At 47.1% G+C, this 25,200-nt stretch overlaps 1 non-coding gene and 1 pseudogene across 1 annotated transcript; one reads left to right on the plus strand and one right to left on the minus strand.

The window, feature by feature from the left end:
* Positions 1–5,692: 5,692 nt before the first annotated feature.
* Positions 5,693–5,796, minus strand: LOC124903786 (small nucleolar RNA U13). Its single transcript, XR_007065232.1, has one exon. It is a non-coding gene; the product is annotated as a small nucleolar RNA U13 (small nucleolar RNA).
* Positions 9,910–12,721, plus strand: MOCS1P1 (molybdenum cofactor synthesis 1 pseudogene 1; annotated as a pseudogene).

The raw sequence follows: 25,200 nt of genomic DNA on the forward strand, positions 1-25,200 counted from the left end.
AATTAATCAGTTTGGAACTTTGCTTGTTGGGCAAAATCTTAGCAGAAAACTCTCCCACTACTTCAGTTCAATCACTAGATAGCATTTTCTCTAGTAAATAATACTGGAAATTCACATGGGCTTATAACCATCTTATAGAACATATTGTGTTAACATTCCCTTTTTAGGACTTGATAATTTTTTAAAGACTTGGCTTCTTCAATAAAAGGCTGAGATTATGGGTTCTTCTTCTTCTTCTTCTTCTTCTTCTTCTTCTTCTTCTTCTTCTTCTTCTTCCTCTTCTCCTTCTTCATCTTCTTCTTTTCTTCTTCTTCTTTTTTTTAGAGTGTGCACCACCACACCTGGCTAGTTTTTTATTTTTTGTAGAGACAGGGTCTCACTATGTTGCCCAGGGTGGTCTTGAACTCCTGGGCTCAAGCTGTCCTCCTGCCTCAGCCTCCTGAGTAGTTGAGGCTATAGGTGCACACCACCACACCGGCTAAATAAATTTTTTTTTTTTTATGTGGATACTGGGTCTTGCTCTGTTGCCCAGGCTGGAGCACAGTGGCACAACCACAGCTCACTGCAGCCTTGACCTCTCAGGCTTAAGTGATCCTCCTACCTCAGCCTCCTGAGTAGCTGGGACTACAGGCATGCACCACCACCCCTGGCTAATTTTTATTTTATTTATTTATTTAGTAGAGATGGGGTCTCGTTCTCTTGCCAGGGCTAGTTCCAAATTCCTGGGCTCAGCTGATCTTCCTTCCCTGGCCTCCTAAAGTGCTAGGATTACAGCTGTGAGTCACTGCCCAGCCGGATTTTCCTTCTCAACTCATTTCATGGTCACCCTTTTAGGTGGGAGTTTTCCCTACATGCTGGCCTCCTTCTGTGTTCCTACAGAAATCCCAAATCTTTGAAAACATCCTTGCTTCCTCACCACAAGTAGTTTCAGGCTTTTGTTGCTTGTCTTACTTGTAAGAATCCCACCCCACCTCATCAGGGAAGCTCTAAACTTTGCACATGAGGGTGCATGTTATGTTATGTTTACCACCTCTGTAGGATGACTCCAGAGAGACCACTCTGTTTTATATCATTGAGAGTCCAAGACTTTCATAAAGCCCTTTCCCATCATCCTTCAAGTAAGAGCTTTTCAATTTTTGCTTCTATTCCTTCTGAGTTATCAGCTTTCCTCTTCTCTTTCAGATGCAATGTACCGTCGTATATGTCACACCAGACTAATGTGTATGTTCAAGTACGAGGCTCTACAATGATTCTGTAACATCAACTATTAAACACCAATGGCCTAACTTTTTGGACCCTTGAATTAATTTCCCTACTTTACTCAATATATTTAAAATGACTTCCAACCTCATGCAATGGTGTGACATAGAACATGACATTTTCTCCTAGATCTCTATACTTTTCCATGATAAAACTACGTTGTTGAAATGTCCCATAAAGGAACACTTCAAATACACATACATATCACTACAAATATTGTGAAATAAAGCCCATCTTACAGAAGTGAAAACAAACAAATGAAGAAAATTTCCTTGACCTCATATTCCTTTCTACCTCTCATTTCTTTGTTTTCCTTTACATCTCAAAAGAGATATCTATACTATGCTCAGCAAGTCCTCCCATTCTCTCTTAAATATTCTCCAACACAGCATTTGTCTCTACCTGTTCACCAGAACTGCTCCAAGGTTACCAGTGACCATCCTATGGCCACATTGAATGACCACTCTCAGCTCTTGTCTCACTTTGCCTTCAGGAGCATTTGACAGTTGACTCCTCTCTTTCTTGCAAAGCTTTTCTTCGCTCAGCTTCCAGAACCCCATACTCTTGAGGTTTCCTATCTCTCTCGCTGCCCCTTCTCAGTCTCCTTTGTTTATTCCTCCTCAAAGCCCCAAGTCTTAAACTTTGGGGTGCCCCAGGGCTCAGTCTTTGGGATGTTTCTCTTCTCTATCTCTACTCCTTTGGTGATCTCAATTAATTTGCTTAAAAAAAAAAAAGACACAAGGTCTTGCTTTGTTGCTCATGCTGGAATGTAGCGGCACAATCATAGCTCATTGTAGCCTCAAGCTCCCGGGCTCAGGCAGGCACAGTGGGCTCACGCCTGTAATCCCAGCACTTTGGAAGGCTGAGGCAGGCGGATCACCTGAGGTCAGGAGTTCGAGACCAGCCTGGCCAACATGGTGAAACCCTGCCTCTACTAAAAATACAAACTTAGCCGGGTGTGGTGGTGCACACCTGTAATCCCAGCTACTCAGGAGGCTGAGGCAAGAGAATCACTTGAACCTGGGAGGTGGAGGTTTCAGTGAGCCGAGATCGTGCCATTGCACTCCAGTCTGGGGAAAAGAGGGAGAGTTTGTCTAAAAAAGAAAAAACCAAAAACCAAAAAACAAAACACACACACACACACACAAAACAAAACAAAACAAAACACCTCCTATGCTCAAGCAATTCTCTTGCTTCAGCCTCCCAAGTAGCTGGGACTACAAGTGCACACCACTGTGCCTGGCTGATTTTTCTTAGTTTTTGTTTGTAGAGATGGGGTCTTGCTACGTTGCCCAGGCTGGTGTCAAATTCCTGCCCTCAAACAATCCTCCCACCTTGGCCTCCCAAATACTGGGATTATAGGTGTGAGTCCCTGAGCCTGTTCTCAATTAATTTCAGGACTTTAAATACCAACAATACACCAATTACCCCTAGATTTATACCTCCAACTCAGACCTGTCTGTTGACCTCCAGACATATCTGAACTCCCGATCAATAATCCTAAGTTGGATATTCAGCTGATACCTCAGCATTAACAAGCACCCAAAGGAGACTCTTGATCTTCTTCGCCAAACCTGTTTCTCATTCAGCCTTCCTCTGAATAATGATAGTCAGCATTTACACAGTGCTTACTCCATGCTTTGCACTGTTCTAAGTGCTTTATGATAGTAACACATTCAAAACTCATGACAACTTTCTGAGGTGGCTGTTATTACTATCTCCATGTCCTAGGTTAGGAAACTGAGGCATCAAAAGGTTAAATGACAAGAAGTTAAGGACACAGGCATCATGTGGCAAAGCCCCTTTAGAATATAAGCTCCATGACAGCAGGAATGCTGTGTGATTTTTTTTTTTTTTTTTGAGACGGTCTCTCTCTGTTGTTCAGGCTGGGTGCAGTGGCACCATCTCAGCTCACTGCAGCCTCAACCTCCCCAGCTCAAGTGATCCTCCCACCTCAGCCTCCCGAGTAGCTGGAACCACAGGCGTGCACCACCATGCCCGGGTAATTTTTGTATTTTTTTGTAGAGATGGGGTTTCACGATGTTGCCCAGGCTGGTCTCAAAGTCCTGAGCTCAACTGATCCACCTACCTTGACTTCCCAAAGTGCTGGGATTACAGGCATGAGCCACTGCACCCAGCCACTGTGTGTCTTATTTGTTGCTGTAACCCCAGGTTCTAGTGGCTGGCACACAGTAGGTGATTAGTAAGTGGTTACTGATCAATAAATGAATGAATGATTGTACACATTTTAAGTTACATATGAATTATTACAATGAAGTATTACAGTTATTACTGGTGCATCCAGTAAGCTGGAACACTTTTGCCCAGAGTGAACCACGTGGCTTTTCAGGGCAGGCCATGGGTATATAGCCAGCAGTAAATGCAGAGGCTGCCTTCTCTTGATAGTGACCCATGATCACTGGGGATCTGGATACCCTGTTCCTTCTCACCCCTCTCCCTGTTTTGGGCCCTTAGGGATGGCTCAGGTTGACCAGGCAGTTGATATCACATCTGTAGTGCTGCTGTGCCCACCCCACTTTTTCAGCAGCACAATAATAACTGTTTTTGGGTTTTTTTGGGGGGTCACTGACAGTATGCCTGAAACTCTGCTAAGTGCTCCATATGGCTTAACTGAATTCTCTCATTAACCCTAAGTGATAGCACCCCCCCAACACACATTTTATTTTAAAACAAGAGTCTTGCTCTGTCCCCCAGGCTGGAGCGCAGTGGCACAGTCTCGGCTCACTGCACCTCTACCTCCTGGGTTCAAGGGATTCTCATGCCTCAGCCTCCCGAGTAGCTAGGATTACAGGCACGAGCCACCATACCATGCTTGGTTAACTTTTGTATTTTTAGTAGAGATGGGGTTTCACCCTGTTGGCCGGGCTGGTCTCAAACTCCTGACTTCAAGTGATCCACCTGCCTCAGCTTCCCAAAGTGCTGGGATTACAGGTGTGAGCCACTGCGCCTGGTGGTGACAGGCCTTCTTATTAACACCATTTTTCAGCTGAGGAAACTGAGGCTGAGATGTGTTAAGTAACTTGTCCAAGATCACACAGCTAAGTAGCAGATTATAAAGGACTTGGTCCATCCCGAGGCTGTCACTGACTGGTGCAGCCAAACTATTTCTCGTGATCTGAGTGGACAGAAAGGGAGGAGAATGTGCTGGGGAAGCCAGTTCCCACATTCACATCTCAACATCAGGAACCCAGTGATAGTTTTAGCCCCAGTGGTGGGAGATGCTGCTGCTCTACAACTACAGTCTCCAGGTCCCATTTGCTTTTCTGTACTGACCAAATGGGCATTTTGTTTTGAGTGGGCACTGGGGATTACCCCTTCTTTTTCAGAGTTCTTGAACTTCTTAGACTCCTAGGGTTGGGTAATCACTTTGGGTTGGTAGTTTAGAGGACACTGGAAACTTATTGGGATTTGCATCCAGTCAGGTGTGTGTACCCTGGGTAACACCATTACCAGGTAGCTCAAATGACCTCTCTAGCTCATTCCATCCCTCCTTCCTAAAATCTGCCCACTGTACTGCAAGGTTAGCCACTGCCAGGACTGCTCACTGGGCAATTATCATTTTTACCATTTCAACCTCATTTGCAACCAGCCACTAAGCAGCCATTGTGGTTTAAACAACAATCCCCTTTGGACACAGACATAGTAATCAAAGCCTTTCACACCAAATGCTGGGAAAGTCTGTGATTTTGTTAACTAAGAATGCACTGTTTTCTGTTCTCCATGTCTATGATTTTCACATTCCTGAGCACTGGCCAAGGGGGTTGTCCAAAATCATGTCAAACAGCAAGACCATTGTTTACCTTTTTTTCCTTGGCAGTTTCAGCACTGACTTGCTCTTTTTGTTTTGCTTTGTTTAGAACAAGTAACAGGCAGTAAAGGAGCAAAATAGCAGGTCCCAATAGGGGTGACAAAATAATATCTTTTTCAGAGTTGAAAACAAGTGTTCAGACAGAATTTTACATGAATGGTCACAGCAGCACTATTCACAGTGGCCAAAAGGTGAAAACAACTCAACTGTCCATTAACACATAAACAGATAAATTGTGGTATAAACACACAACGGGATATTATCCTCTCATAAAAAGAAATGATGTACTGATACAGGCTACAAAATTTATGAGTCTTGAAAAAATTATGCTAAGTGAAAAAAAATGGGCCAGACACAAAAGGCCAATATAGTATGATTCTATATAAAATATCTAGACTAGGCAAATCCACAGAGACAGAAGGCAGATGAATGGTTGCCAGAGCTTAGGGAAGGTGGAATGGGGAGTGATTGCTTAATATGTATGGGGTTTCCTTCTAAAGTAGTGAAAATGTTCTAGAACTAGGCGGTAGTAATGGTTGCACAATATTATAAATGTACTAAGTGTCACTGATGGTAAATATTGTTATGTGTATTTTCTGTGTGTGTCAGACTGGTAATGTGCTGATGTCATAACAAGGCTTGAGGGAGTCACATCTCACACATGCACATGAAAACCCAACGATCATGCTTAGGAACTCCAAAAAGATCGTGTTATGTGGATTTTATCACAATTAAAAAAACTTTCATAGGAAGAAAGAAAAAATTTTTTTTCAGAGATCTTTGGGCATTAACTCAAATTAATATTACCAAAACTCCCAAAAGAGAAAATTAACCAATTAAGACATTGGTTACATAGGAGTATACATTTGTCAAAACCCCTTGAATTGTACTTGAGATCTGTCTTTCACTCTATGTACATTTTACCTCACTAAAAATTTGACCAATCAAAAGTAACAGAAAATACAACTATACTACGTGCAAAAATAATCTATGAAGAGGTGATATTATATTACCTATAAGATTGAATTATACAGCTTCTGGGTATCCAGGCAGTCATCGACAATGCTCTGTGGAGCTCTGGGAAGCCTATCGTAAAGTTATTTAAACTACCACCGAATTCTAGAAGGAATTGCAATGTGGAGTTGCAGTCAGGGTAGACGTTCATGTCCCAGAGGTCACAGCATGTTCCTGTTGCAGCCGCACCCAGATGTTCACAATGGTGGAGACCTTGCTTCCCAGTAACACCAAGTCTGAATGTAATTTCACTTAATGTTCTTTGGCTATACAGCAGTCAATAATGAGAAGTATCCACTGCAAATAAAATTATTTACAGTTGTCACGTGGGGCTAGCTCATCCATCACTATATCCCTACTTCACCAGTGCGTAATATATAAAATCACATTGTATCTGACAAATGAGTCAACGAAAGATTTTTCTCCTATTTACATTAGAAGCATCCAGTAAAACCATTCCCAAACAAAAATTTAACATTTAACAACTTCACCAAATATGTATTTCTTTATTTACTGAAACCTACCTAGATACATAGAATTATAGTATTAGAACTCTATTGTGTAAGCCCAGTTTCAAATGAATTAGATTCCACAGTTTTTAAAAATCTCATTGGAATTAGAGGGTGATTGGGAAAGCTTTTAGTTCCAAGAAACTTTGTCTAGTTTTAGTCCTTGTTTGTTCCTTGCTGATACCAGATAGAAGTAGGGTTATATGGATACCTTTTAAAATAGCCTAAGTTGGCCAGGCACGGTGGCTCACGCCTGTAATCCTAGCACTTTGGGAGGCCGAGGCAGGTGGATCACCCGAGGTCAGAAGTTTGAGACCAGACTGGTCAACATGGTGAAACCCGTCTCTACTAAAAATACAAAAAGTAGCCAGGTGTGATGGTGCATGCCTGTAATCCCAGCTACTCGGGAGGCTGAGGCAGGAGAATTGCTTGAACCTGGGAGGCGGAGGTTGCAGTGAGCTGAGATCATGCCACCGCACTCCAGCCTGGGTGACAGAGTAAGACTGTGCCTCAATAAATAAATAAATAAATAAATAAATAAATAAATAACATAAAAATAAAATGGCCTAAGTCTAACACTCCCCCCAAAAAAAGAAAAAAAAATAAGGGCTGCGAGGGCTGGCTCACATGTAATCCCAGCACTTTGGGAAGCTGAGGGGGCACAGGTCACTTGAGCCTGGGAGTTTGATACCAACCTGGCCAAGACCCCATCTCTACAAAAAATACAAAAATTAGCCAGGTGTGGTGGTGTATGCCTGTGGTCCCAGCTACTTGGGAGGCTGATGTGAAGGAATCACTTGAGCCTACGAGGTCCAGTCTGCAGTGAGCTGTGACCACGCCACTACACTCCAGCCTGGGTGACAGAGTAAGACCCTGTCTCAAAAAATAAATAAATAAAAATACATAAAATAAATAAAATTACAAACCCTAGGTAAAACAAAAGCTGATAAAGAAATGTAGCTTAAAAACATTTCTGAGCTCTGCAGTGAACAACGTTTATATTGTCATAATATAAATCCTGTTTATTAAATTTCAACTTTAAGAATCTATAGTTGGGCTGGGCGCAGTGGCTCACGCCTGTAATCCCAGCACTTTGGGAGGCCGAGGCAGGCGGATCACCTGAGGACAGGAGTTCAAGACCAGCCTGGCCAACATGGTGAAACCCTGTCTCTACCAAAAATACAAAAATTAGCCAGGCATGGTGGCATGTGCCTGTAATCCCAGTTACTTGGGAGGCTGAGGCAGGAGAATCGCTTGAATCTGGGAGGCGGAGGTTTTGGTGAGCCAATATCATGCCACTGCACTCCAGCCTCGGTGACAGAGTAAGACCCTGTCTCAAAAAAAAAAAAAAAAAAAAAAGAAAGAAAGAAAGAAAGAAAAAAAAAATCTGTAGTTAGACAACATATAGATGCAATTTTGATTATAGGACAGAAAATAAATGCTATTCACTTTGTCAATCTAAAATTAAATTTCAAATGATAGAAGTTGAAAAGTAAAAGGGAGAAGAGCTCAAAGTGTGTGAGGGGCTGATATTCTCATCTCATGAAACAGGAACCAAAAGACACTACATAATTAATAGAATTAGAAGTAAAACTGTTAGCATATGACCAAAGTTACTGGAGCAGACACACTACATAACCAATATTTATTCCCCTTTACTTCCTTGTAACAGAACCCTAGTTTTGTTCAGGGCATCAATATGGTGTAATCATGATATGTAATGGATCATTCAGAAACCAGTGAATCTTAACCCTGGCTGCACATTGCAACCACGTAGAAGAGATTATAATTTAATTGGTCTAGGGCAAGGTTTCTCAACTTGACACTACTGACATTTTGAAGAGAATAATTCTGTGTTGTTGGGGGCTGTTCTGTGTGTTGTAGGGTGTTTTACACCATCCTGGCCTCTATCCACTTAATGGTGGGCGCACCTCGCCCCCAGTTACAAGGATCAAGACTGTACACAAACATTGCTAACTTACCCTTGGTTGAGAACCACTGACCCTAGGATAAGACCATGTTCAGAGACGTACACTTAAAAATATCCCTAGGAGATTCTAATATGTAACGAGGGTTGAGAACTATTGATATAAGCCAATTAGTCAATCCAGTTTCTTGTAGGTTTTTCCAGGTTCCCTTGCAGCTATGTGTGGTCATGTGACTTAGTTCTGGCCAGTGAGATTTAAGTGGAAGTTTGCTTTGCTAGAGGGTTTGTGAGAGGAGGTCTAAGAAAGCTTGTACTTTATTGATGAAAGGTGACAGACATAGCTCTTGTTTCCTGCCTACTCTCCTCTTTTTCCTGTTTGTATGAAGCTGTGATGTTTGGAGTTGTGGCCACCAACTTGTAATCAAATGAAGACAAGCATGAATATAAAAACTAGCCTGTTAAGGATGGCAGACAGGAAAGACAGGGAAGGCATAAAATAAAAAATTTATTTAAATTTTTATTTTATTTTAAACTGGGTCCCTGCTGGCAGTTTTTGGCAGCTGAACCAACAATAAGCAGGACTTGTTTAGTGAGTACAAATTTCTCCCTGTGTGTTTAAGCTGCTGTAGGCAGGTTTTTGTTATCTGAGTGAAAATCAATCACAATTACTACAGTTACGAATGTAATAAAAGGAAGAAGAAAAATAGATTACTGGTAGGATAGAGATGGGAAGGAAAGAGAATACTGTAAACAAGCTAAATCCTCATCTCTCATAACAGGAAGTATAAAGGGATGAATAAAAACAGTTGTATATATATCTCCAAAAGAATTGAAAACATATGTGCACACAAACACTTATATATGAACGCTCACAGCAGCGTTATTCATAATAGCCCCAGGTGGAAACAGTGTAAATGTCCACCAACTAATGAACGGATAAACGAAATGTAGTCTATACATACAATGTAGTCTATGCATACATTACTTTATGACCAGCTGTCATAAAGTAATGGGGCACTGACACACGCTACGACATGGATGAACCCTGAAATCATTACACTAAGTGATAGAAGCCAATCATACAAGGTTACATATTATGTGATTCCATTTGTATGAAATGTCCAGAAAAGGTAAATCTATAGAAACATAAAGTAGATGTGCCTGGCGCGGTGGCTCACCCCTGTAATTTCAGCACTTTGGGAGGCCGAGGCAGGCAGAGCATTTGAGGTCAGGAGTTCGAGGCCAGACTGGCCAACATGGTGAAACACCACCTCTACTCTATATACAAAAAATTAGCCGGGCGTAGTGGTGCATGCCTGTGATCTCAGCTACTCAAGAGGCTGAGGCAGGAGAATCGCTTTTGCCCGGCCAGTGTGCTCCCGAAGCCGGCTGAGGGCCGCAGCTCTGCCGGGATCAGGCTTCACGGTGGCGCGGCCGCTGTCCCGGATGCTGCGCCGGCTCCTAAGGTCCAACGCCACGGAGCTGCAGCTCACGGGTTCCGGTGATGCCGCCCCGCCCGGGCGAGTCCCCGCAAGCTGCCTCACAGGAGCTGTCCAGGTGGAGGCAGTTCTCGCGGGAGCACGAGGCCCCCTTCTCCGCCTTCCTCACAGACAGCTTCGGCGGGCAGCACAGCTACCTGCGGATCTCCCTCCCGGAGAAGTGCAACCTCAGATGTCAGTACTGCATGCCGGAGGAAGGGGTCCCGCTGACCCCCAAGGCCAACCTGCTGACCACAGAAGAGATGTTGACCACAAAAGAGATCCTGACCCTCGCCTGGCTTTTTGTGAAGGAAGGCGTCGAAAAGATCTGGCTCATGGGCGGAGAGCCGCTCATCCAGCCGGACGAGGTGGACATTGTGGCCCAGCTCCAGCGACTGGAAGGGCTGAGGACCATTGGTGTCACCACCAATGGCATCAACCTGGCCCGGCTGCTGCCCCAGCTTCAGAGGGCTGGTCTCAGCGCCATCAACATCAGCCTGGACACACTGGTGCCTGCCAAGTTTGAGTTCATTGTCCGCAGGAAAGGCTTCCACAAGGTCATGGAGGGCATCCACAAGGCCAATGAGCCAGGCTACAACCCTGTGAAGGTGAACTGTGTGGTGACGCGAGGCCTTAACGAGGATGAACTCCTGGACTTTGCGGCCTTGATCAAGGGCCTCCCCCTGGACGTGGCCTTCATAGAGTACATGCCCTTTGATGGCAACAAGTGGAACTTCAAGAAGATGGTCGCTATAAGGAGATGCTAGAAACTGTATGGCAGCTGTGGCCAGAGTTGGAGAAGCTGTCAGAGCAGGAATCCAGGACAGCCAAGGCCTTTAAAATCCCTGGCTTCCAAGGCCAGATCAGCTTCATCATGTCCATGTCTGAGCATTTCTGTGGGACCTGCAACCACCTGCAAATCACAGCTGACGGGAACCTCAAGGTCTGCCTCTTTGGAAACTCTGAGGTATCTCTACGGGATCACTGTGATCTGGGGCCTCCAAGCAGGAGCTGCTGAGAATCATTGGCGCTGCCGTGGGCAGGAAGAAGCAGCAGCATGCAGGCATGTTCAGTATTTCCCAGATGAAGAACTGGCCCATGATCCTCATCGGTGGGTGACCCCCATCAAGACATTTTTGATGTTCCACGATTCCCCACCAGCCAATCCAAGCATTTCCTCCTGGGACCCCCTCCATGTTCAAGGTCTGAGATCCAGAATGAATTTCTCCAGTCAGATGGCCACTTTATGGAAAGGATACAGGGTACCCCAGACCCCTCTTCTAGCCCAGCAGCAGCTAGGTTCTGGCTCCTTTCAGAGACACTACACTTCCCATGCAGACTCAGATGCCAACTCAAAGTGCCTTAGCCCAGGTTCCTGGGCTCCTGCTGCCCCCTCAGGACACCAGCTAAACTCAGAACAACTAACTCATGTGGATTTGGAAGGACGGGAAGCTATGGTAGATGTGGGCAGGAAGCCAGACACAGAGTGGTTGGCTGTGGCCTCAGCCATGGTCATCCTGGGGCCTGTAGCCTTCAAGCTTGTCCAGCAGAACCAGCTCAAGAAAGGAGATGCCCTGGTGGTGGCCCAGCTGGCTGGAGTCCGGGCAGCCAAGGTGACCAGCCAGCTGATCCCTCTGTGCCACCACGTGGCCCTGAGCCACGTCCAGGTGCAGCTGGAGCTGGACAGCACATGCCATGCTGTGGAGATCTGGGCATCTTGCCAGGCTCGGGGCCCCCACCAGGGTGGAAATGGAGGCCCTGACCTCTGCTGCAGTGGCCGCCCTCACCCTGTGTGACATGTGCAAGGCTATCAGCAGGGACATCGTGTTGGAGGAGATCAAGCTCATTAGCAAGACTGGAGTTCAGTGGGGGGACTTCCATTGGGTTTAGCTTCTGCCCTTCTCACCCATGGCCCAGCCAGGTCTGAAGATGGGGTGCAATTTAAGCTGAGGGAAAGACATCAAGTTCCTTTCATCACAGTCACTGTTTACCTTGAGCAGTAAACCTGAAGTCAGCCTGCTCTACTACTAGGCCTGCTGCTAGATGATCTTTAATGACCAATGGGGCTTCCTTTCTATAGGGAGGATACCAGGAGGCCCTTAAGCCTTCCAGGACACTAAGTTCATGGGAGCCAGACTGCAACAAGCAATGCTAGATAACTGAGAAATCATGTTCTTTCTGGACTATTTCAGACAAACAGTCTCAGACAGTCCAGCCCAGAAATGTTCCTTCTCATTTTGGGTTTTCTCTTCTCCTACTTTCCTGGGGAGAGATTAAGGGCTCATTAAGCGGAGGAACCCACTTTGAGGAGAGTAAAGCCCAAGCTTGCCTGAAGAATGCATCTCCCCAGCAGCTCTGCCTCCCTAAGTCTGTGAAGCCACAGCCCTGCCCTGTCCTGACTTTATCTCCCTTCTGCCCAAGTCTATGTCCCATCAAACTTGCAGCTTTTCAGCTTAACAGTTGCCTGGTCCTGCTGGCCCCCTTTTCTCAGGCCCCCCTCCTCTGAAACGGGATGTGAACACGTGGGCCACAGCCCTAAGGACTCCTGACAGACCACATAGCCCACAACTGGCCCTGCTCATGGCTGTTCCACCCACCCCTCTTTATTCTGGAGCATATCAGGGAAAGAAGAGTTGACGATAGATTGCCTTCACCCTCACAGTGCACAAATAAAGCTACGATGCCAACTTTGCATATGCAATAAATAAATAAATAAATAAAGTAAGTAAGTAAATAGATGAGTAGTTGCCTGGGGTTGGGGGAGGGGCAATGGGGAATGATTGCCTAATGGATATCGGGTTTCCTTTTGGCATGATGAAAACATCCTAAAACTAGATAGTGGTGATAGTTGCACAACTTTATGAATATACAAAACCCCACTGAATTGCACTCTTTAAAAGGATGAATTTAATGGTATGTGAATTATACCTCATAAATAAAAATTAAAAAAAAACACAGAAACAGCTTTATAAGCTGAGTATTAGAGGCATGGAAGGATCCATCAAAAGGCAAAGTTGAAAGAGACTCCTTCTTAGGAGCAGGAAGAGGACTTGGGAGGGCAATTGTTTTTCATTATTAGTCCTTCTGGATCCTTTGAGACATACATATATATATATATTTTAAATGTATCTGTATTACTTTGGTAAAATTTTTAAAGAAAATTTAAAGGAAAAAAGTGACATAAGAATCTTTCTTTCTTTGTAGCCTTGGATAAGCTAGCAACTCATGTAAGCAAGAACTTTTCTCTCTTATTTCCAGGCAAGCTGCCAAATTAAATCCCTTTCTTTTCCTGCTGGCGTCTGCCAACGTGATGTCAGAGACTGAAAACTAGCTTCTAAGTAAATAGGAAAAAAGAAAAATAAAAAGCACATTCTTAACTAAAATCACACATTTATAATTCTTCAGGCTCATGACTAACACAATGTTTTTCATAACCCTGAAAAAGTGAGGAGCATGTCATAACTCACAAATAACCTCTAAAACCATTTAAGAGCTTTTTAGCAAGAGAAAGGAGAGTGTTAAACAGCAGTAAGCTGTCACATCAATCCAGATCTAAATTCCAAACCAGTAGGACAAATGTACACAGCCACGTGTACATGAACTCTGCAGATATCAAAATAGAAGTTTATGCTTTCAGCTGAGCAATCCATTTTCCTGGGGAGAACACTTTCTTCCTGCAAATGAGTATGAAAGGCCTCAAATTCAAGATTTCTGAGCAACTGCTCCTGAAGAATCCAGTTTCAACTCCTACAAAATGCAACTTAAAAACAAAATGTAGACATATTTTCTTTTCTTTCTCTTTTTCTGAGATGGAGTCTTGCTCTGTTGCCCAGGCTGGAGTGCAGTGATGTGATCTCGGCTCACTGAAACCTCCGCCTCCCAGGTTCAAGTGATTCTCCTGCCTCAGCCTCCCGAGTAGCTGGGATTACAGGCGCCCGCCACCACGCCCAGCTAATTTTTGTATTTTTAGTAGAGACGTGGTTTCACCATGTTGGTCAGGCTAGTCTCGAACTCCTGACCTCGCGATCCACCCGCCTCGGCCTCCCAAAGTGCTGGGATTACAAGCGTAAGCCACTGCGCCCGGCCCTTTCTTTCTTTCTCGATTTTCTTTTCTTTCTTTCTTTCGTTCTCTCCTCTCTGTCTTCTTCTTCTTCTTCTTTTTTTTTTCTGACAAGGTCTCACTCTGTCACCCAGGCTGGAGTGTAGTGGTACGATCTCGGCTCACTTTCAACTCTGCCTCCCAGGCTCCAGCGATCCTCCCAGGTAGCTGGGACTACAGGTGTGTGCCACAACACCCGGCTAATTTTTTTATTTTTATTTTTTTTGTAGAGGCGGGGATTTCCTCATGTTGCTCAGGCTGGTCTCGAACTCCTGAGCTCAAGCAACCCACCCACCCCGGCCTCCCCAAGTGCTGGGGTTACAGGTGTGAGCCACTGCACCCGGTCTCGGACGCATTTTCATTAGGTGCCCTCTGACGTCAGCAGCTGGTTGAAGGTTTAATGGCTTAGAGTGCGCACAGAGTGGGGTGGGAACTTGTGTGTCTCACCCCTGCCCCACCCCGCTTGGGTTTCCCTACAGTTTCTACCAGGTTCATAAGCAGAACCTAAAACAAATGGGTTTAGAAGTAACTTTAGCCTCTTTGGCTACTTCTGGTGCTCGCCGAATCCAGAAAAATGGTCTTTTTAAATGTCCTGTTATTTTGCACAAACGATTTCCTGCTTAGAGTGAGGAGCAAAACCTCTGGCTTTTAACCCTGCCAAAGACCTACTTGAAGTCAATCTGTGCATATTTAATTTTTCAGGCTCAGCAAGGTCTTATCTCATTCTATCTGCATTTTATAACAATCCCACATTTTCTCTCTACTTTCCTCAAGCATTCTAACCCTTCCGTGTCCTCGCTGCCCGCCACCCACTCAAGGGAACTTCACCTACTCAAGAGCCACAGGGGCTGGACAGAAGAACCTGGCAGCTGTCCAAAGCCTTCAGCGCCTAATTTCCCACCAAGTGCAAGACTGACAAGGTTCTTCCCTGCGGTCTCCTCTTGCCAATCCTCACCGCGTTCTTAGTTCCTGCCTCAGTGTTATTTTCTCCAAGCAACATAGCAAGTGAGGCCCGATGGGTCTGGAAGGCTTACACGGCCCAAAGGGACAATGACGGCAGGCTTCAGAGCTGTGGTTGAGAGTCTGGAGGATTTCAGCCTGGATTTCACATACCATCCTCATCATGAGGAAGGAAGCAGCCCCCATCTGGGAGCTGGGAGGTAGGTTGGTTGCCGACAGCACCAGGTTCACCTACTGAGGGTTCACATCTGTGAAAAAGTTTCTCCTTCCCACTAACTGGATCCCATTTGGCCTGGTTTGAGTCATGTGTTCATCCCTGGGCCAATCACTATTGCCTAATGGAAGGATTCTGATAGGCCACATCCAAGTCGCATGATCATGTTGAGTCATGTGCTCATCTCTGGACCAATCACTGTGACCTACTGGGCAGATTCTAATAAGCCAGGCCCAAGTCACATGATCACCTTCCTGATTGTGGGGGTGAGAAGTCAGGATTGTAGTTACCAAAAGAAGGGGAGTGAATCTCAGAGAAACAAGAACAGTGGCTTTCTCTACATATATCTACTCAAAAACAGCAACAGCAAACAAAAAATTAGAAGGAAGGATGAAGACAAACACTAGGAACATAAAAGTCTCTCCTATTCTCTAGATAGATGCATCCTTAGGATCAACCTCTACATATCATTTTGTAACTGTTATTTTTACTTATTTGTTGAGGACTTAGTATATACAGTGCTCTAATAAAGCTCAGCACAGAGGAGGCATAGAAAGACTGGGAAAAAAGGTAAGTGCAGCTGGGAGCAGTGGCTCACACCTATAATCCCAGCACTTTGGGAGGGTGAGGCAGGAGGATCGCTTGAGGCCATGAGTTCAAGGCCAGCCTGGGCAACATAAGATGTCTGTCTGTAAAAAACTAAAAGAAAATAAATTAGCCAGTGTGGTGGCACATGACTATAGTTCCAGCTACTCAGGAAGCTGAGGCGGGAGGATCGCTTGAGCCCAGGAGTTCCATGCTGCAGTGAGCTATGATCGTGACAGAGTGAGACTGTGAGTCTTAAAAAAAAAGAAAAAGTAAATACTTTTTTAAGCTTTTAATATAAATGAGCACACTGTCCCTAGAGGGATTTCATCTTTGTACACCCACTCACTGTGCCTAGACTTCCCTACCCACCAGCCTCAGCATAGCACAGCCATGGAACCATCCTCCCACAGAAGACAATGCTCAGAGGTCTCTTTCCAGGAAGGCCTTTTCAGGAGGCCTCAACCTCCAATTCGAGTCTCTGAGGCTTAAAAACTGAAAAGTCTGGAAAATGTCCATCTTACACCCTTTCACCTCCTTATTGGAGGCCCTATGCCCCCCCGATGTCCTTCTCTCCTGTTGCCCTTCAGGTGTTGGCCAGAGATAGCTTAAGGCAAGAACTGTTCAGGACCATTTATGGTTTTTAATATCAGAGCTTGGGAAGACTTACTGGTGGAATTTCAGGCATCGGGACCCGCAGTGGAGGAAATCCTATAATTTGATGTCAGACTGACTTGGGTTTCATCCCCAGCCTTATCACTTACTAAATGTGTGGCATTGGGCAAAATACTGAACGGATCGTCCAGTTATTTTGAGGATAAACTTGAAAGTACTACTATATTTTAAATACCCATCAAGGGATCTGGTTTAAAGTCAGCACCTGGTAAATGTAATGTTGCACTGTGACTTGCTTTGCTGTTTGACCTTTGCGAAATCCCCGTGTCTCTGGACAATGAGGGTTGAATGAGATGTTCTGCCTGTTCTGAGAGCCTGGGATTTCCAAGTGCAGGACGTGTTGGAAGTCCAGTGCAGAGAATGGCATGGTGTGTGTGCATGCATGCACCTGTATGCCTGTGTTTTGTGTGGAAGCATGAGTGTATGTGTGTCCCTTCGCACTAGGAGAAGATGTTACCCTTGGAACCCCAAATTCTGTGGAGGCAGAGAACCTTCCAGCTTCCTGCCACCATGTCAGGGTGGCAATCACTTGAATGTTTTGGAAAACCTGAGAGGCTGGCAGGGGGATGGATCTGCAGGAGACCAAAGTTGGGTTGCCAGGGAGTCACCTCCACTCCTTCCCCAGGATGCCTGAAAGAAATAAGGGGGCTAGGTGGGTTTGGCCTGGCTCCTCCACAACTCTGTATCTGTGCACAGCGGGCTCAGCTCTTCCTGCAGTGTGCTGGCTGGTGGCCAGGCCTCGTTTTCAATGTTCACAGCTAAATTGGATCCAGATGTTGCTGAGGAATCTGATATTAAACAAATGCATTCCCTGGGCAGCCGGTTCTTTCTACTGCGGAAGGGCAGGAAGCCTCGGACCCCCAAGCCTGGGCAGAGGTGTTGGAGGGGCCCAGGCTGGTGGGATCTCAGGTTGTTTCTTCTGTGGGGCAGTAGGGTGTTCCCTAGCTGGCCTAACTTATGGCCAGGTTATCATGTTCATGAAATATCTGGTCAAATGATGGGCTGGGCCTCTTTCAAAGGTACATGAATCCCACCTCTCCATCTTGGGAGCTGCCTCCAGACCAGCTTGATTTCTTGTGTGCTTTCCTTAACTTGAGCTTGTCCTTTCATCAAGCTTGGAAGGGTCCGGCTGCATGGAGCTGGTGGTGGAACATGTCAAGGGAGTCCAGGAGCTGAGCATGGATGCTCCATCGCCCTCCTATGTTTTGAAATCTACTGAATGTCACAGGTAATCTTCCCTCTCTTCCTTCCAGGGGTACTGTGCGCCAGGCATTCAAAGACAGCACTCAGGAGATCTTCATAGCAGCCCTCAAAGTAGGTTTTAGCCTCTGCTCAGAGTAACTGTTAAATAACTCCATGGAGGTTACAACAGCAGAACAGCAGAGGCTGGTGGAGCCACAATTGAAGTTCAGGTCTGGCTGACACTGGGACAGTGTTTTTTCCCTCTTCCATGGTGTATTCATCAAGCACTGGGCCTGACACCAGGGGACACAGATAAACCAGAACCCCTGCCCTGCGGAAGCTGGTGGGGCAGGGAGGAGTCAATAACAACTGAGACAGACCGGAGCAAAAGGTGGGCTGAAGCAGGGCTGGAAATGACTTCAGTGGAGCACAGGAGAGGGAGAGACGCAGCTGCAAAGAGGTGCTGACTGAGTCAGGGAGAGGCTGTTACGGAGGGGGACAACCCTCAGGGATGGTGGCTCTCTAAAGGAGCAGGACATGGCGACTAAATGCAATGTGGGATCCCAGGTTGGCTCTTGGATTAAAAATAATAATAATAATAAAAAGCTACAGGCTGGGCACAGTGGCTCACACCTGTAATCCCAGCACTTTGGGAGGCCGAGATGGGCAGATCGTTTGAGCTCAGGAGTTCGAGACCAGACTGGGCAACATGGTGAAACCCTGTCTCTACCCATGATACAAAAACTTAGCCGGGTGTGGTGGTGTGCATCTGTGGTCCCAGCTACTTGGGAGGCTGAGGGGGAGGATCGCCCGAGCTCAGTGGGTGGAGGTTGCAGTGAGCTGAGATCGCACCACAGTACTCCAGTCTGGGCGACAAGAGTGAGACTGTCTCAAAAAAAGAAAAAAAAAGTTACAAAAGGCATTACCAAGGTGACTGATACAATTTAAATATGTAGTCTATTTTAGATAAAATAGAGTGTCAATATAAAATATCCTTAACTATATTTAGATTGTGGTTAAAATTACAAAATTAAAATACAAAAATACTAAAAATACAAAAAGTAGCTAAGTATGGTGGTGCATGTCTGTAGTCCCAGCTACTTGGGAGGCTGAGGCATGAGAATGCTTGAACCCGGGAGGCGGGGATTGCAGTGAGCCGGGGATTGCAGTGAGCCGAGATCGTGCCACTGCAGTCCAGCCTGGGGAACAGAGTGAGACCCTGTCTCAAAACAACAATAACAAAAAAAGCCTATACATTGAGATACAGCAAAGTGGTAACATGTCAACAACTGATGAACTTAGATGAAAGATATAAGGGTATTCATTGTACTATTCTTGCAACTTTTTGTAGGCTTGAAGCTTGTAGGAGAAGAGAAGCGGGAGAGGGCAGAAGGGCAGGGTCCTGGCAGCTCAGAGAGGGTGGGTGAGTCCAGGAAGGCAGCACAGGCTGTGGAAGGCAGGGGCAGAGAGATTGGGTGCAGAACAGTGGGAAGGCCGCTGCCAGCCTTGGAGTGCAGGAGAGCACAGGGAAGGTAGGAGGAGGAGGGAGCCATTGTTTAAAGATTTCTCTAGTGATGCAATGGAGAATATCACACAGGCTACGGGGCACAGCAGCGGTGAGCAAATGCCTCCTTAGGATGGGAGCATCCTGAGCCCTTTTCTAGGAAGAACAGAAAGGGTGGACAGAGAGAGAGTTGATAAAGAATTAAGGACACTGGGTGCGGTGGCTCACGCCTGTAATCCCAGCACTTTGGAAGGCCAGGGTGGGTGGATCGAGAGGTCAGGAGTTTGAGACCAGCCTGGCCAACATGGTGAAACCCTGTCTCTACTAAAAATACAAAAATTAGCCAACCGTGGTGGCACATGCCTGTAATGCCAGCTACTTGGGAGGCTGAAGCAGGAGAATCGCTTGAACCCGGGAGGTGGAGGTTGCAGTGAGCTGAGACTGCACCACTGCACTCCAGCCTGGGTGACAGAACAAGAATCCATCTCAAAAAAAAAAAAAAATTAAGAGAGCCCGTGTCTTATTTCCCTATTTTCTTAGCTCTTGACCCAGTGTGGCATCATCCACCTGGCTTTCTCCTTCATGGCAATGTGAGCCCTCTGAAAGCAGTAATTCTTCGCTCCTCTTCTTTATCTTCATGGCTTTGCCCCCAGCACATGGTGGGGCTCTGTAAATATTTTTGAATGAATGAGTGACAAGGTGTGTCTTAGTTTTCTGGGGTGGCTGTGGCAGAGGACCATGGACTGGGTGGCTTCAACAACAGGAATGTGTTGTCTCACAGCTTAGGAGCCTGAGAGGCTGGAGTCAAAGTGTAGGCGCTGGCTCCTTCTGAGGTCTGTGAGGGAAGGTTCTGTTCCAGGCCGTCTCTTTGGCTGATAGACAGCCCCCTTCTTCCTGTGCCTTTTTGTTTTTGAGACAGGGTCTCGTTCTGTCGCCAGGCTGGAGTGTGGTGGCATGATCATAGCTCACTGCAGCCTGGACCTCCTGGACTCAAGTGATCCTCCCACCTCAGCCTCCCAAGTAGCTGGGACTACAGGTGTGCCCCACCATGCCCGGCTCATTTTTAATTTTTTTTTTTTTTAATTTTTTGAGATGGATTCTCACTCTGTCATCCAGGCTAGAGTGCAGTGGTGCAATCTCAGCTCACTGCAACCCCTGCCTCCTGGGTTCAAGTGATTCTTCTGCCTCAGCCTCCCAAGTAGCTGGGACTACAGGCGCATACCACCACACCTGGTTAATTTTTTTGTATTTCTAGTAGAGATGGGGTTTTACCATGTTGGCCAGGCTGGTCTCGAACTCCTGACCTCAGGTTATCTACCCACCTCGGCCTCCCAAAGTGCTGGGACTACAGGCATGAGCCACTGAGCCCGGCCTTAAAATTTTTCCTGAGACAGGGGTTGTGCTGTGTTGCCCAGGCTGGTCTTAAACTCCTGGCCTCAAGCAATTCTCCCATCTCAGCCTCCCAAAGTGCTGAGATTACAGGCGTGAGCCACTGTGCCTGTCTGTTCTCCCTGTGTCTTTACAATATCTTCCTCTGTGAACGTCTGTCTCTGTGTCCACATTTCTCGGTTTTCTAAGGCACCAATCATATTGGATTAGCATGCTACTGCACTGGTCTTAATTAATTACATCTGCAATGATGCTATTTCCAAATAAGGTCACATTTTTTAAGTACTCAGGGTTAGGACTTCAACACATGAATTTTTGAGGGACACAATTTAACTGATAATGGGGGAAGTGGGGGTAGGGGTGCATCTGGGGTTGGAGGGGAGGGATGAAGGCTGGAATTGGTCTAGGCTGGATGCCAGGGGTAGGCTGACCATGACACTAAGGCTGGAGACTGGGATGGGTTGAGGGCACCCAGCTGAGTGTTAAAAAAGAAGTAAAAAGGGTCCTCCTGCTCTGTGTGGCCCCGGGGAGCTGGACTAAAGCCAAAGGGAGGATGTTTTGGTTCCATTGAAGGGAAGCCTGTATGTTAAGAGGAACGCCAGTCTAAGTACAGAAAGAAGGAAGGTGCTCTGAGGGTGGGAGGTGAGTGTCCCTGCAGGCTTGGGGCTGAGGACACAGGTGGGCCTGAAGCTCCCAGGTTGTCCAGTGACCAGTGAGGTGCGATCTGGTGTCTGTCCTCCTGCTGAGGCCTGGCTGGGAACAGTGACCACACATGGGCAGTCAGGAGGAAGCTGAGGAACTCAAGGGCTGGAGAAGGTTCTGCCCCCACACTCCTCCCTGTGGACTGCCACCTGGCCAGGCCAGTTACAAAGTGTCCCTCAGGGCCCCCAAAGTTGCTCCCCAAGTTGGCTCTGGGCAGATCAGGATACCCGGACTTTGTGGATCAGGTTCTATCAGTAATGTTGGGCCACTCTGTTCCTGGTTTTCCAAAGTGGTTCTGTTCCCAGTTTTCCAAAGTGGTTGTAACAATTTACCCTTCTGCCATCAGTGGATTGCAGAGAGTTCCAGGGAGTTCCAGTTGCTCCACATCCTCTTCAACGTTTGATATTTTCTGTCTCATTTATTTTAGCCTTTTTGTTGGGGATAGCTGTGGTTTTAAACAGCTAAACCACACTTTTGTTGGTGCTACTGAGAGGTGACAGCATGCTGGCAGTCCTCACAGCCCTCGCTCGCTCTTGGCGCCTCCTCTGCCTGCGCTCTCACTTTGGCGGCACTTGAGGATCCCTTCAGCCCGCCTCTGCACTGTGGGAGCCCCTTTCTGGGTTGGCCAAGGCCGGAGCTGGCTCCCTCAGCTTGCAGGGAGGTGTGGGGGGAGAGGCACAAGCAAGCGGGAACCCGGGCTACGCACGGCACTTGCGGGCCAGCTGGAGTTCCGGGTGGGCGTGGGCTTGGCAGGCCCCGCACTTGGAGCAGCCCTGGGCAATGAGGGGCTTAGCACCTGGGCCAGTGGCTGCGGAGGGTGTACTGGGTCCCCCAGCAGTGCCGGCCCACCGGTGCTGCACTTGATTTCTCGCCGGGCCTTAGCTGCCTCTCCTCGGGGCAGGGCTCGGGACCTGCAGCCCGCCATGCCTGAGCCTCCCCACCTCCATGGGCTCCTGTGCGGCTGGAGCCTCCCCGACGAGCGCCGCCCCCTGCTCCACAGTGCCCAGTCCCATTGACCACCCAAGGGCTGAGGAGTGCGGGCGCACGGCGCGGGACTGGCAGGCAGCTCCACCTGCGGCCCCGGTGCGGGATCCACTGGGTGAAGCCAGATGGGCTCCTGACTCTGGTGGGGACTTGGAGAACCTTTATGTCTAGCTAAGGGATTGTGAACACACCAATCAGCACCCTGTGTCTAGCTCAGGGTTTGTGAATGCACCAATTGACACTCTGTTATCTAGCTACTCTGGTGGGGACTTGGAGAACCTTTGTGTCTACACTCTGTATCTAGCTAATCTAGTGGGGACGTGGAGAACCTTTGTGTCTAGCTCAGGGATTGTAAACGCACCAATCAGCGCCCTGTCAAAACAGACCACTTGGCTCTCTGTAAAATGAACCAATCAGCAGGATGTGGGTGGGGCCAGATAAGAGAATAAAAGCAGGCTGCCCGAGCCAGCAGTGGCAACCTGCTCGGGTCCCTTTCCACACTGTGGAAGCTTTGTTCTTTTGCTCTTTGCAATAAATCTTGCTACTGCTCACTCTTTGGGTCCGCACTGCCTTTTTGAGCTGTAACACCACAAAGGTCTGCAGCTTCACGCCTTAAGAGCTGTAATACTGCGAAGGTCTGCAGCTTCACTTCTGAAGCCTGCGAGACCAGGAACCCACCAGAAGGAAGAAACTCCGAACACATCCGAACATCAGAAGGAACAAACTCCAGACGCGCCACCTTAAGAGCCGTAACACTTACTGCGAGGGTCCGCGGCTTCATTCTTGAAGTCAGTGAGACCAAGAACCCACCAATTCCGGACACACTACCATAGGAACATGCCATGCCCTGGCAAGGTTGAGTTCCTATACTGTCTGCCCTTACAGCACATATGACATTTACAATTGTTCACTTCTGCATGTGCTCTTCTGACCGTCTCTTACCTCCATTCCACTACACCAGAAGCTTTGGAGGGAAAGGACTGCATTTGTTTTCTTTTCTTTTTGTTCCCAGTGTAGAGCCCAGGGCCTGCCACATAAATGGCCCTCCAGTCAACTAGGATTTGGAGTAACAGTGAGTGATCTCTTAAAGTGGTGACTCTCTATATATATATATATGGGCACATGTTCTCAAGACCTCTTGAGACTGTGCCTCAGGAAAATACTTTTTTAAAAATATGCATTTATTTTGGTCTAAGTTAAATAAGTCCAGAAGTAAGAAGTCCAGTCGCTGAACTCGTGCTTATGGCGTGGTGACCTGTGATTGTTGGGAATTCAGGCTTGCTCTCTTGGGTGGCTCTGCTATTCACCACTCTTGGCTTCCACATTGTGGTCCATGATGACTGCTCAAGTCATAACTTCCAAACTCCAGCCAGCACAGGGGGAGGAGATGATGATGCTTCCATTTTTAAGAATGTTTTATGAAGTTGTGTATACACTACTTCTGCTTATATCCACAAGTCACATCACATCACCACATATGCAAGGGTGCTCCTAGATGGAAGTTAGGGCTCGATTTCCAAGAAGGGGAGAGTCACCAGCAGTGCCTGCCACAGCCCTCAATAAATATGTATTGACTGGAGGAATGATCTTAGTCTGCACAACAACCCTCCAAGATAGGTGGTATTATTCCCATTTTATAGATGAATACACTGAGGATCAGAGAGGTTAAAACAGCCTGCCAAAGATAGTAAATGGGTGGCCCTGCAGCCCTGGGGCATCTCACCCCAGGTTTGGCCAGCTGTTGGCTTCCTGTAGCAACCTGGACATTGTCCTCCCCACTCCAGGCCCATTTTTCTGCCTGTCCTATAAGCCTGTGGGTCTTTCCAGCTCTGACCTTCTGAATTTCCATGACAAGCCTGTAGTCCCTCTGCTCAGAAGAGCCAGAACCTTCTAGTTCCCCGCACGGGGCTACATCAGGGGATGGTGGAAGTCTAAGACTAGCTCTGTGAGGGCCTGGCCTCCATTCCTCCCACTGAAGACTCTGACCACCCAGGGAGGACCTACTCCTGACCCCAGCTGCCCAGTAGGCCCCTGTCCTCGCTGTCCCTCAGGCCCCACGCGCCTCCACCATCCTGCTTTGTTTCCTGCATCCCACCAACCCAGTTCCCGCCTCCCAGCCAATGCAGGGCCCCTGATGCTGGGCCAGAGGAGCCATCTCAGGCTGCAACTGCTGGTGGTGGGCACAGGTGGGGCTGTCCTCTGCCCACACACTGCACATGAGTCAGGAGCTGCTGGGAACGCTGTCTGGTTTCTGGGTGTCTGGTCCCAACAAGCTCTCCTCCCATCCCAGACCTGCCCGCTGTGTCCTGCCTGCCTTTGACGGGAGCTGCAGACTACAGTGAAATGCTTTCCTTCCCTGCCAACCCAATGCTTCCACCAATGAAATCCCAACCTTTGCATAATCCACAAGGAATTTGGCCTCTGGCTGCAAGATTGTGTTGCTGACTGTCTCCTGGACGCCTGTAAGGCTCACCCTCCACAGCCTTCCCATCACATGACGTAGGCTCCCTAACACATTTAATCCCTTCTGCGGGGTGGGGGACTCACCTCCTCTCCCATCTCTTCATCTGCTCACTACATATTTATTGAGCACCTACTCTACGCCACATTGTGCCAAGCATAGGAAATACAGTGCTGAAAAAGTGAGTCCCCATGGCCTAAAGAGAGAGATGGGCATTAAATACAATCTCTCCATGAACATTTGATGACAGCATGAGCCATGTGTGCTAAAGGAAGGGAACACATTTCTATGTGCTCATTTATGCCACAAAGATTTATTGAAGGCCTTCTGTGTCGCAGGCTGTGTTCCATGACAGTGTATTAGAAAATTCCAGCCTAGGCTGGAGCTGAGGCTACCTGAGTTATTATGAAGGATGAGTCAGAGCTACC

The sequence above is a fragment of the Homo sapiens genome, chromosome 16 (assembly GCF_000001405.40).
Source record: "Homo sapiens chromosome 16, GRCh38.p14 Primary Assembly".
Lineage (NCBI taxonomy): Eukaryota > Metazoa > Chordata > Mammalia > Primates > Hominidae > Homo > Homo sapiens.